The sequence below is a fragment of the Homo sapiens genome, chromosome 13 (assembly GCF_000001405.40).
Source record: "Homo sapiens chromosome 13, GRCh38.p14 Primary Assembly".
Classification (NCBI taxonomy): Eukaryota; Metazoa; Chordata; class Mammalia; order Primates; family Hominidae; genus Homo; species Homo sapiens.
The window spans coordinates 41,782,164-41,795,941 of NC_000013.11; the positions used below are offsets into that span (position 1 = coordinate 41,782,164).

The window sequence follows — 13,778 nt, forward strand, 5'->3', positions numbered from 1 at the left end:
AGGGCCACTGTGTAAAGTTCATGGCAGCCCTGAGTCCTAAATGTCCATGTCACAAACACCATGGCAACAGACATTGTGTTCAAGGGCACAATGGTCTTTGCTGCTACTGTATTTCCTACATTCTTATATCCTGTGAAGTCTTTTCAATCTTTGCCACCATGGAGTTTTTCAAATTGTCTTTTGTTCTTTGTCTCTTTGTCTCTTTGTTCTTTGTCTCTTTGTTCCTTTCCACTATATGAATAGAGTGTAATACTATCAGTGCTTGGAAATAGTATGTTTTCCTCATAATCATGTTTTTGCCTTTGACAGGCAAGTTTTCTTTCTACTTTTGTGTCTTATAAGTAGCTTTATTTTCTGTTCATTTGTTTACTGATTGTGCAAGAGCATTAATGCTCCAGAAGAAAAATAAAACATTAGTTAATTGGCTATAAAATGAATAAAAATCAAATCAAGGTTATGCTCTTTTCTACGACATAAAAAATATAGTTTTGACAGATTTCAGAATTTTTAACCAAGATTTTTATTAAGAATAATATGTCTAGATACCTATAAAGTTAATATAACTTAAAATATATTATAGAAAATTTTAAGTAGTTGTTTTACTATAAAAGTAATACACAGCCACTTGACAGAAAAGTTGGAAGAGAAAACATTTTTATATTATAGGTAATTTTCTCTAAAAAAATTCTTATTAAAGTAAACATCTACAATAAAGCTTTCTAGATACAAACTTATATGTCTTAGTGGAAGGTCCATAATTATTGGCTAGTTTACAAGGAGAGAATTCTCTACCCTCCTCCTTTAAAAAAGAAAGGAAAAGGAAAGAAAAGAAAAATACTAGAAACTTGCAGGAAAAAGAAGAGTATGAGAAAAAGGATGCATAGGACATATCCCTCTGAACTACTGAAATCTTTAACAAGCAAGTAAAAGAGGATGATAGCTCTGCTTTGTTTTTAAAATGTTTAATTTAAAAATTGCATATAAAATTACATATATAATTATATGTGTGTATGTGTATATATTTTATATATATGTACTTATATATATACTTAATATACTTAATATATGTACTTATATATATACTTAATATATATAAAATTTATTACCCTAATCATAGCAACCATTCCTCCAATTTTTAAGTACCTTTGGAAAAAATTTTCTGTTTTCTGTCTTATGTCTTAATAAAAGTTGTTCGGCCAGACATGGTGGCTCACGCCTGTAATACTAGCACTTTGGGAGGCTGAAGCAGGTGGATCACGAGGTCAGGAGTTTGAGGCCAGCCTGGCCAATATGGTGAAACCCTGTCTCTACTGAAAATACAAAAATTAGCCAGGCATGGTGGCACATGCCTCTAGTCTCAGCTACTCGGGAGGCTGAGGTAGAAGAATCGCTTGAACCTGGGAGGTGGAGGTTGCAGTGAGCCGAGATCGTGCTACTGCACTCCAGCCTGAGTGACAAAGTGAGACTGCATCACAGAAAAAAAAAAAAAAAAGATGTTCAACACTTCATTTTGCATCATCTAAATTAAATTTAGGAAATCACAAAAATAATTACATGTCAATTTCACTTGAATTGGAGTGTACTACCACAATTTAAGTGATTTATCCAAGAACACAAAGCAATACTCTTACCTGAATGTTGTCATAGAAAAGAACATCAGGCACTTTCATTTTCTCATGTGCATTATAGATCGGTGCACTAACAGCACCAATCCTCAGAGTTCCAGATGTTACTTCACCTAAACATTTCACACAGGACGGATAATTATTCATAGCACTGTCCTCAGAGATGCCAAGCCACCCAACACAGAATGCAATACAGCTTCAGTAATATCTGTGGATTTTAATTTAACATCTAAAGAAATAAGCTGGAGAGTAGTAATAAAACACCACAGCTCTAGATACAAAATGCTTCAAAAGGTAACAAATTTTCTTTAAAACAATGTAGATAGAAAACAGTATATATATAATTGTGAGAAACTAAAAAAAAAAACAAAACAAAAAACCAGAATACAGTCAAGCCACCTTCACAAGCTTGTTTGGTCAGAAACTATAACACATACATAAGTTAAATACACCTAAATTCAAAAGCTCCAAAGTACCTTGAATATTATCTTTTAGTGTGCACCAATTTAGAAACCCCTTAAGATAATCTCCTATAGCTCTAGTCAAAAATACAGATGAACTAACCTACCACAGAACTCTTAAATTACTATTTTCAGCCAAGTGCAGTGGCACATGCCTGTCACCAGCATTTCAGGAGGCCAAGGCAGAAGGATCACTTGAGCCTAGGGGTTCAAGACCAGCCTGGGTAACACAGAGAGACCCTGTCTCTACAAAAAATTTTAAAAATTATCCAGGCCTGATGGCATACGCCTGTAGTCCCAGCTATTCAGGAGGCTGAGGCAGGAGGATTGCTTGAGCCTGGAGGTTGAGGCTACAGTGAGCCATGATTGCACCACTGTACTCCAGCCTGGGTAACAGAGTGCAACCTTGTCTCTCTCTCTCTCTCTCTCTTTATACATATACATATACATATATATATATATATATATATATATATATATACACACACATATATATATATATATATATATATACACACACACACACTAAAACATAACAAAATAAATATTTTAAAATTACTATTTTCGAGGTTGGTCCAGGAGGCCTATATTTTCAAATAATCACCCAGGTGATTTTCATACCCAGCCAGATTGGGAAACTGTCTTATGCAATTATTTTGTAATAATAATTATTATATTGTTCCTTATTTGCTTTAAATAGGTTGACCTAGAATACATTATTAGTTCCTGGAAGCCAGAAAACTAAGTAATAAAGCTCTTGAAATCAGGGAACATATCTGCTATGTATTCCCTACAGTAACCAGATATGCATGACATGTTCACTGACATGTTCCAAGTTCAATAATATTAATAACATTAATAGTAGTAGGTATTTTAGTAATACTAATGATTACAATGATAGAAGCTATCATTTATTAAGGACCTTCTATGTGCCAGATCCCAAGCTAAAGCTTCACCTCATTTTTTTCTCATATGACTTCATGCAATTCAAAGAGGAAAGAATAATGAGAATACTAAGAACATACACTATGTAATTTGCTCAAAATCACCCAGCTAATATGAGTAGAGCTTAAAACAATTTAGTCTAGTCTGACATTCTTTCTACCATATGGGATATATTTAATATTTTGACTCCAAATAACATTGCAACCTGTGGAAATACCTTAGCAAGCAAATATACAACGCCTTAAACAATTCACCCATCTTTTTTTTTTTCTACTTCAAGTAAGAAAATTACAGTTTGTTTCTCCACTAGAATGCGACTTTTGTGCTAAGCGTTTTGGAAGACAATGGAGAAAAGCAACTTTTGCTTCTATGGAGTGCTGTGAACAAATCTGAGCTAAAAATAATTGTCATCCTGTTTAATCACTGTGGAGTGCTACACATTTGACACAGCACAGTAGATCTTAACAGTAACTTCGCCCTTCAATAGATCCTTGCCATTTTCCTTTTGTTTACAAGTTCTACAGGGAAGGAAAACCATGAGCTGTAACACTGAGAGTTTACTATTTATTTACCACCATTAGGTCTCTGAAATAGACCCAGTATAAAACTGTAAAGGGAAAGAAAGAGCAGGGATATGGCAGTGAATCTACTATCTAGTTGCATGTTGAGATGACACACATAATTTCAGATTCAAACAGCATCTGATGCTATCTATGGTTTAGTTTACGGAATACATCCACTCAGCAGATTTACGGCTTAAGGACAAGTTTATTCACTCATCCAATGTTTATTGTTAAAATGTCAACCTCAAAAAGGGAAATGCACTCAGAGAATGGTGATGCTAGCACTTCTGTGGGAGAAAGTTGGCTAGCTATCTTCTAAGAAACCCACAGAATGGCATTATTTTGGTACATTTGTCAAGTTTCTCAGCCTAGTAGGCTGTAAACCTGATTTTGTCATCACAACTAAGGGCAAATCTAACTTTCAGGAGAATATTAAAGATACATATTCTGGTTTCTCTATATATATAATGATGTAAAATCAGAATTGCAAAATATTATATGACAACTGTAACTTTCACATGGACTATGATATACTGGTTGCCATAACCAGCATATTAATTGAAGGGAACCTGCATGGAAAGCCAGTACCTCATCAGAAGATTGTTGTGTGAACACGGAGAGTTAATTAAATGAATTCTTCATAAGAGAGATGGCCTTAAAGATGAATGGAACCAGACAAGTAAAAAGTCTCTTCACTTAGGCTCCTTATCCCCTACATGAGGCTTAGATGGGCACTGCTAACACTAGCCAGTAACCAAGACCAAACAATCGGCAGTCTGAATGACAGTCGTTCTTTGGATATTTAATAGACTCACTCAAATAATATTGAGAATACAATATTATTCCTTCTCTTTGAGTTGACTCTGCGTATCTGTATTCAGATCCCTCAGTATGCTGAGTTTATAATTTGACTCTAAAAAAAATCTTATTTCCTCAATACCAAATTCTTGTCTCAGTGCAGCCCTAATGATTAAAAGCATCTGCTACAAAGAAAGCCACAACAGTCCCTTTTAAAGAGTAGTCACACATTGGCTGCTTCAATAAAATAGGTATTTACATTTTTAAAAAATTGAAAATCTTTCATTGTGTTCTAATTGAAGAATAGAAAGCTTTTAAATGAAGAACTAAATCTCCCCGAAACTGAAAATTATATTTATGGCTATCCAGAAGAAAAGTACCACAAAAGACAATACAGGTGGAAATGGAATGAATAAGAGGGCATGCATATTCTGATTATTATTTTAGTTTGTATCAACCTAGGAAAGTTTCTCCAACATATCTTATAGGACATCGCTGACCCTCAAAATGTAAACATGCAAAGAAAACAGCATTCTAGATTCACTGGTGAAATACATTTGGAAAAAGTACATTTCTCAAAATTAGACAAGTTGATTTACAGCAGGAATTCTCAGAGTATCAATTAGTATCAATTGTGAGTCTTAAGGGTGAGGGGAATTGTATCTAGTATGTACTGAAATGAAGTAAATATTCTAAGATTTTACTTGTGTTTTTCAAACTTAAAAAAATCAGATTCATTTCTTCAAACTAATATATAAAACAAAGTAGATGAAAACCAAAAACTGTTTAACTGTTTATTTTAACTGGAATTAAAATAAACAGCATCAAATGTTTGTTAATTATTATTTCACTTAAAAAAAAGAGCCAAATCAAATACTTACATTTGTAATCCTTCAGTTCTGGCTCCAAATTGTCATCAGTATTTATTTCTATTGTAGCATCTGCCAGATTTTTTTCTAATGCTGACCTAGCAAGACTGGGTAAAAACCTGGAGGATGAAGAGGGAGGAAGGGGGAAATGGCTTAAGTCAAAGCTTTCTGCGATTCTTAAATACACACACACACACACACACACACACACACTCCTTACTAATTACAACTAATTAAGGAAGATCAGTCTGGATCTGTAAAATCTAAATCAAACAAAATTTTAGAATAAATATAAACTTAATGTACGTGTGAATTATATGTTTGTGGAATCTCCTTTAATAAGTAAAACTTATTTGTAATTAGCAGTACTGATTTATGTACAACACTTTGCAAAATAAAATTTAAAATTTGCTTTCTTAAGTACAATTAGTATACTGGCTTATCAAATTTTCTTAAGTAGATTAAACAACAACACTTGGCTGTTCTAGGTTGGCAATCATAAATTCAAACCAGTGGAGATGGATTAATGAGATTTTCTTTAGTTTCTAACATAAGCTTCTGAATGAATTTAACATTATCTAGCTTCGTTCTTCCTATTAAAAAATATATCTGCTTATCTATTCTATGTGTATGTTGTCAAAACAACCATCTAGTGAGTGACAGTTATTCTTCAAACAAACGGATTATGAGCATCATGTGCCTGAGGCATGAAACATAGTTTCCCACCTACACAAATAAAGCTATAGCTAGAATTTATGGTCCCAAGTGAGCCAACGGATATGACTTTTAATCCATGGTACCCATGGTTTAACTATACCACTTTAAATTAACCACTATGTGATATAACGTTCCAAATAAACATACTAAGAACATACCACTTTTAAACAATTTGGGTTTTTCACAGCTCTAAATCTTTGGTGGTGATTCCTACAGTCTTGAGTATAATCTCTAATAGTGGAAAGATTGGAGAGCATGAGGCAGCAAATAGACAAGCATGTAAAGAACTGTCAGATTTCCTGTCCCTGTAAAATTCCAGTCCATATATCTGACATTATTATCTCTTACCTCCTGCCTCATTTTGGGCCTAGGCTATGATAGAGGAAATTACATAGCTCTATGCTAGTAACTCCTCAGTTCAGCATGAAGTCAGACTTTGCTGCTCATCTCTGAACTTTCGTCATAGTTCTTAGATCACTGCCTCGTTCAAAAACCAAGCCCTCACCTTATCTCCCAGTCCAATAGCTGGCTTTTGTCCTGTTTCCTGAGCCCTTGTCTTGGCACCCTGCTTAACCTTCCTCTTACCACTATCCCACAAACCAGAGGCTGGCTTGGTAACATTAGGCCCTGCAGCTGCATCCCTATTACTTCCTGTCAGAACACCCTGACTGGCATTGACTATTTTCAGGCTTAGACTTGTTGGCTATTCCCAGGCTTCCCCAACACGTATATAGTCTGCGTGTCAACACATCTTAATGTTGGCCCTGTGTGGAAACATTTCTAGATTACACTCCAAAGCCTGCAGAGAATAGCAAATATGGCACGGATGCCTTCCCTTCACCAATATTGGCAGGCATTGCTTGCTAATAGGGCATTCTTTCCTTCTGAGACTGAACACACTTCACCATTATTCTCAATCTAGCACCCAGACAGCAATATCAATCAAGGTACCAAGGAAGTTGAAATATATTTACATCTAGAACATTCTAAGATACTGGCCCATCCAACAAATGAGGAAAATGGAACATATCAGGCGGTGTAAGGCCAATCCTAATTTTTTTCCTGGATTTTAAGGGATTTGTTAACTGTTTCCTTTCCCATTGCTCACTGATATTTTTTACTTATTTTTTCCCTCTCCTCCCTTGGCCTTGGTAAAATAAGCAAATAAATGAATGAATGAAATATTACTCTTTACTATCCTAGCTTCCCAAAACCAAAGCAAGCACATACCCTGTTGCAAATTTTCCAAGTGTACTTATAACTATTATGAACAGCCTGGTGTCTTTTAAAAGTAATTATTACATTTATCATATTTATTCATTTTACCAACAAAAAAAAATTGGAAAAGCTCTAGTCTCATTAGGTTTTGGTTATAAGAAAAACTAAAGAAAGATTCAGCTACACTCTGGGAAAGTCAAAAAGAGAAGTATAGTAGTTACACTAAGCTAACGCAAATAACTGTCTTTGTCACAGGAGTGGGATAGGATCTTTAGATTAAGGAATAAGATAGGACTTCTCAGGATGGTAGCAAAGAAGTCTGTTAAGGGTCGGGGTATTCTCACATCACCAGCGCTAGGAAGGAGGGGTGTTACTTGCAAGAGTGAAAGAAAAAGACTGAGGGGTTCTGTGGATACTAGGCAGTCTTTGACTTCTATTCAGAATGTAATTGATTAATTAATTTGTACTTGTGATTTTAAATCTTAAATTTCCAAATAGTATTGGAATATTTAAGATAATTTATGGTACAGCCTATTTATAAATTTAATTGACTATATTTGTGCCTTAATTACTCAGGAAGGTTTTGTTTGTTCATTGAGACATCCAAAGTATGTAAAAGGAAACAATATATAAAATTTATTAACCATTTCAAATGTTTGAAGGTATTTTATTTAGCCGAGTTTTATAAATGGAACCAGACATTTTTCAAAGGCTTTTCAAAGTGATGGTTAATATCTGCTAGACTTACATAGTTAACTGAATGAATGAACAGAAAAGCCTAAAGAAGGTCTCAATTTTTTAAATTATAACACCATAAAACTGAATGCCAGCTTCTAAAACCAAAAATAAATCCCCAAATAGTCTTTCCTGCAAGCAAAACGATTCTTCCAGACAACAAAAAATTCACACCAACAATAATCTTCTAGTTTTAACACTGTGTATGATTAGTTCGATCAGACTTGTGATTTTTAAAATTAATTACTAACAGCTTAAACAGTGAAAATTTTATATAGATGTTACTCACTTTGCTTATTTATTTATTTATCCATAGGTGTTGATCCCAAATATTTTATATCCAAAGGGAATTTCTGACAACTGCATGCAAATTGAGTTTTTGACAAATAGAATAATTTCCTCATTACTTCAATATCAGAAACAGTTAATCTTCATTTCTGATTAAACTCTTACAACTGTGTCTAAAATTTCTGTGCTAAAGGATCAGCATAGAATTGAATTTTGAGGATCACCTCAAAATTTTCCAGAAGTAAATAAATTAATGAAATACCAAACACTTGAGTGAAGTAGAACTCTTATTACAGAGACCTCTAATTAATTTTTCTACAATAAAAGTATTTTTGGAATGCAAATTACTTGAGAATTTCCTAATCTTCTAAATTCTTCCCTGTAGTTCCTCAGGTTTACAAATGTCTAGAAAATGAATTATGCATCAAGCTCTGAATTGATGTTCACTTTATAGGGTATGAGGATGAGGTACTTAGGGAATTCATCAGATAAAAATTGTTGCAATCTTAATGCCATTGGCATAAATATATGAGTGATATTTTAAAAATTACATTAACAAAAAAAAGCCCAACTAATATTTATAAACTCAATGTTTAATAAATTTAGGTTAGATAATTTATCTTGATTTTTGTCTGCTTCATAAAGTTCTTTGTGAAAATAAGTTATATCAATGTTTGTTTTAAAATTTTCCACAAAATCCAATTCCTTTTCACTGATTCAATATAAAATGAGTTTTTTTTTTAAAAAAACAATAAAATACTTTATGAATCAATAATTTTGGGTTCCTTCCTGCCACTGTGTTATTCTAAAGAGAAGGTTAGTAAGAAGGCTTTTGAGTCTGCAGCCTTGCTAAACTCAACAGATGATGCATAAACAAAATAGCTGTTTTCTATTCATTTCTAGTTGAAAGGGTCATGGAGTGATTACAAAATAAGAATTTTTTGTGGTCAGTTGATAACACTGGAAAAATTAGTCAACTATTTGATTCAGTGAATATGTATGAGAATGAAAAGTAACCAATTTTTGTTTTTCAGTTTTTTTAATTATGAAATATTTCAGTATTTCAGAAAATTAAAGAGATTATAGAAAATTATGAAGACTATTAAACATTCTATTCATCTCTCTCCATCTCTAGAGAGAACTCTAACCTTGAAACTGGTGTGTATTTGTTGTCCATATTTTTATATTTTGCTACGTAAGTGTGTATGAATAAAAAATATATTGTACTGTTTATCACATTTAACATTTTGTACAAATCACATCATATACTGAATCTCCTTTTGCAACTTTTTTACTCAATATTAAGGTGTTATGATAGATAACTGTAAATGCATGCAACTTACTTCATTTTGACTGTTGTAAATTATTTTATCATACAAATATATCAATTTATATATTCATTTCCTACTGATGGACAGATGGGCTGTTTCCAATTCTTCATTATTACAATGATACAGTGAACATTCCTGTATATACCTCCTTATATACACATGTAAGTCTATCTTTAAAGCAGATATCGAGAAGTGGAATTGTCAAATCATAGAGTAATAATATATTTAGGCAAAAAAAAACTGTTGAAACTTCCATCCCAACAGCAGTGATGAAATTACATTCCTCTCCATTCATAAAAAATGTTACTACAAGTAAAAAATTTAAAGTATAAAATGATAGCTGATTATTATTTTAAATTTCATTTCACTGATTATTAATGAGGCTGAGCATGTTTTCAAATGTTTATTGGTCATTTGAATTATTTAAACTTTGCATAAATATCTATTCATTCTTTGCCCATTTGGAGTTAATTCTTTTTCCTTATTAATTTGTAGTTACTTTATAGTCCCTGAATGCCAGTGCTTTCTTAATCAAAAATCATCCAAAACATCTTTCCTAGTTTGTGGGTTATAACTTATAAAGTAGTTTATAGTGTCATATAACTGGATTTTACCTTTTGTGTGGGATAAATTGGAAAATCTTTATTTATAACCATGTATTGACAAGCCAACATTGATTTACAATGCTACATCTTATATACTAAGTTCTCACAAATATGTAGGTTTGTTTCTGTGCTCTGTATCTATTCTAATAGTCTATTTGTTTTTCCCTGTACCAACACATACTATTATAATGAATACAGATTTAGAATTAATATTGATATCTAATAGGTTAAGTATACCCTCATTAATCTTATCAAAATTTCTTGGCTATTAGTAGCCTATTATACTTCCATGCCAATTTTGAGACCAGCTTGTCAAATTCACTATAATCTTGTGGGATTTTGACTAATTATATCTAAATATCAACTTGGAGGGAAACAGTTTTACAATACTAAATCTTCCATTTATTTGTCTTCTTTTATAACTTTGAATAAAGATGTATACTTTTCTCCATTAAAGCATTACATGATATTTATTAGATTATTCTTAGTTGTGCAAAGCTTTCTACTATTATTTTGAATGAAATTTTTAAAAATTATATTTCCTTATTGATTGTTACTGGAGTATAGGAAATGTCATTGATTTGGGAGTATAAATAACCTCACTAAACTCTATTTGTTCTAAATAATTTATTTGTATTTTCTCTTGTATTTTTAATGTAGCTAATCATATAACCTAGGGCAAATGTACTTGCTAAAAGTGCTGAAAGATATTCTTGTTTTGGTCCTAACTCTAAAGAAAATGTGACAAGTATTTTGCCTTAAGAATATTTGCTGTAAATTTCTGGTAGATATTCTTTATGAGATTAAAGAATTTCCTTTCTGCTTGTAGTTTACTAAGAATATTCCAGATTTACTAAGTTATATTTGTTTTTGCTTTGGTTTGTTTTTAGGGCTGGCTATTGAATTTTATCAAACACTTTTTCTCCATTTAGTAGAATAATTTTTCCTCAACTAATAAGAAGATGAATTAAAAAACAGAATATCAAACCTTGACATTCTTGAGGTAATTCCAAATTGCTCATGAACCTTTAAATATAATATACCTACATTTGAGATAAATAAGAAAGATATGTTTTAATAGATGGAAGTGAAAAGAGGAAATCTCAGAAATAAACATTACCTTTTTCTGACTGATTGAATGTGTCCTCCCTAAGATTCATAGGTTGAAATCCTTTTGCCCATAGTAAAATTGTCAATTAAAAATACAAATTTAGGTCGGGCACGGTGGCTCACACTTGTAATCCCAGCACTTTGGGAGGACAAGGCGGGTGGATCACGAGGTCAAGAGATCGAGACCATCCTGGCCAACATGGTGAAACCCCATCTGTACCGAAAATACAAAAAACAATTAGCTGGGCCTGGTGGTGCACGCCTGTAGCTCCAGCTACTCAGAAGGCTGAGGCAGGAGACTTGCTTGAACCTGAGAGGTGGAGGTTGCAGTGAGCCGAGATCGTGCCACTGCACTGCAGCCTGGCGACAGAGCAAGACTCCATCTCAAAAAAAATAAATAAATAAATTGAAAAGAATATTTGCTGCATGTGGCTAGCCAGTTCTCCCAGCAGCATTTATTAAATAGGGAATCCTTTCCCCATTGTTTTCGTCAGGTTTGTCAAAGATCAGGTGGTTGTAGATGTGTGATCTTAGAATTTCTGAGTTCTCTATTCTGTTCCATTGGTCTACGTGTCTGTTCTTGTACTAGCACTGTGTTGTTTTGGTTACTGTAGCCTTGTAATATAGTTTGAAGTCAGGTAGTGTGTTGTCTCCAGCTTTTTTTTTTCTTAAGATTGTCTTGGCTATACAGGCTCTTTTTTAGTTTTTTATGAATTTTAACATAGTTTTTCCTAATTCTGTGAAGAAAGTCAATGGTAGTTTAATGGGAATAACATTGAATCTATAAATTACTTTGGGAAGTATGGTCATTTTCATACTAATTCTTCTTATCCATGAGTATGGAATGTTTTTCCATTTGTTTGTGTCCTCTCTAATTTCCATGAGCAGTGGTTTGTAGTTCTCCTTGAAGAGGTCCTTCAATTCCCTTGTTAGCTGTATTCCTAGGTGTTTTGTTCTCTTTGCAGCAATTGTGAATGGGAGTTCATTCATGATTTGGCTCACTGCATGCCTGTTGTTGGTGTATAGAAATGCTAGTGATTTTACACATTGATTTTGTATCCTGAGACTTTGCTGAAGTTGCTTATCAGCTTAAGAAACTTTTGGGCTGAGACAATGGGATTTTCTAGAAATAGGATCATGTCATCTGTAAACAAAGATAATTTGACCTCCTCTCTTCCTATTTGGATGTGCTTTATTTCTTTCTCTTGCCTGATTGCCCTGGCCAGAACTTCCAATACTGTGTTGAATAAAAGTGGTGAAAGAGGACATCCTTGTCTTGTGCCAGTTTTCAAGGGGAATGCTTCCAGATTTTGCCCATTCAGTATGATATTGGCTGTGGACCCCATCCTTATGCCTTATACAAAAATTAACTAAAGATGGATTAACAACTTAAATGTAAAACCCAAAACCATAGAAACCCTGGAAGAGAATCTAGGCAATACCATTCAGGACATAGGCACAGGCAAAGATTTCATGAGGAAAACCCAAAAGCAATTGCATCAAAAGAAAAAAATTAACAAAAGAGATCTAATTAAACTAAAGAGCTTCTGCACAGCAAAAGAAACTATCATCGGAGTGAACAGATAACATCCAGAATGGGAAAAAAATTTTGCAATCTATCCATCTGACAAAAGTCTAATATCCAGAATCCACAAGAAACTTAAACAAACTTACAAGAAAAAAACCCACCCCATTAAAAAGTGAGCAAAGGACATGAACAGACACTTTTCAAAAGAATACATTTAGGCAGCCAACGAACATGAAAAAAAGCTCAACATCACTGATCATTAGAGAAATGCAAATCAAAACCACAATGAGGTACCATCTCATGCCAGAAAAATAGCAATTAGTAAAAAGTCAATAAACAATATATGTTGGCTAGGCTGTGGAGAAATAGGAATGCTTTTACACTGTTGGTCAGAGTGTAAATTAGTTCAACCATTGTGGAAGACAATGTGATGATTCCTCAAAGATCTAGAGGCAGAAATGCTATTTTACCCAGCAATCCCATTATTGGGTACATGCCCAAAGGAATATAAATCATTCTGTTATAAAGTTATATGCATGCTTATGTTCATTGCAGCACTATTCACAATAGCAAAGACATGGAATCAACCCAAATGCCCATCAATGATAAACTGGACAAACAAAATGTGGTACATATACACCATAGAATACTATGTAGCCATAAAGGAATGAGATAATGTCCTTTGCAGGGACATGGATGGAACTGGAAGCCGTTATCCTCCACAAAATAACACAGGAACAGAGATCCAAACACCACATGTTCTCACTTATAAATGGGAGCTGAATGTTGAGAACACATGGACACATAATGGGGAATAACACACACTGGAGCCTCTTGAGGTGGGCGGGTAGGGGGAGAGCATCAGGAAGAATAGCTAATATAGATCCTGGGCTTAATACCTAGGTGATGGGTTGATCTGTGCAGCAAACCACCATGGCACACCTATGTAACAAACCTGCACCTCCTGCACATGTACCTCAGAACT

The 13,778-nt window shown here is 33.6% G+C and overlaps 1 protein-coding gene across 2 annotated transcripts in view; it reads right to left on the reverse strand.

The window, feature by feature from the left end:
* The window catches only part of VWA8 (von Willebrand factor A domain containing 8), a 394,275-nt gene that overhangs the window by 215,329 nt on the left and 165,168 nt on the right, over positions 1-13,778 (reverse strand). For both annotated transcript variants that reach the window (NM_015058.2, NM_001009814.2), the window contains exons 18-19: positions 5,274-5,380; positions 1,632-1,738 (exon numbers count right to left, since the gene is read on the reverse strand). In NM_015058.2, coding sequence (NP_055873.1) covers positions 1,632-1,738; positions 5,274-5,380 — 214 coding nt within the window. The remainder of the gene's footprint in view (positions 1-1,631; positions 1,739-5,273; positions 5,381-13,778) is intronic.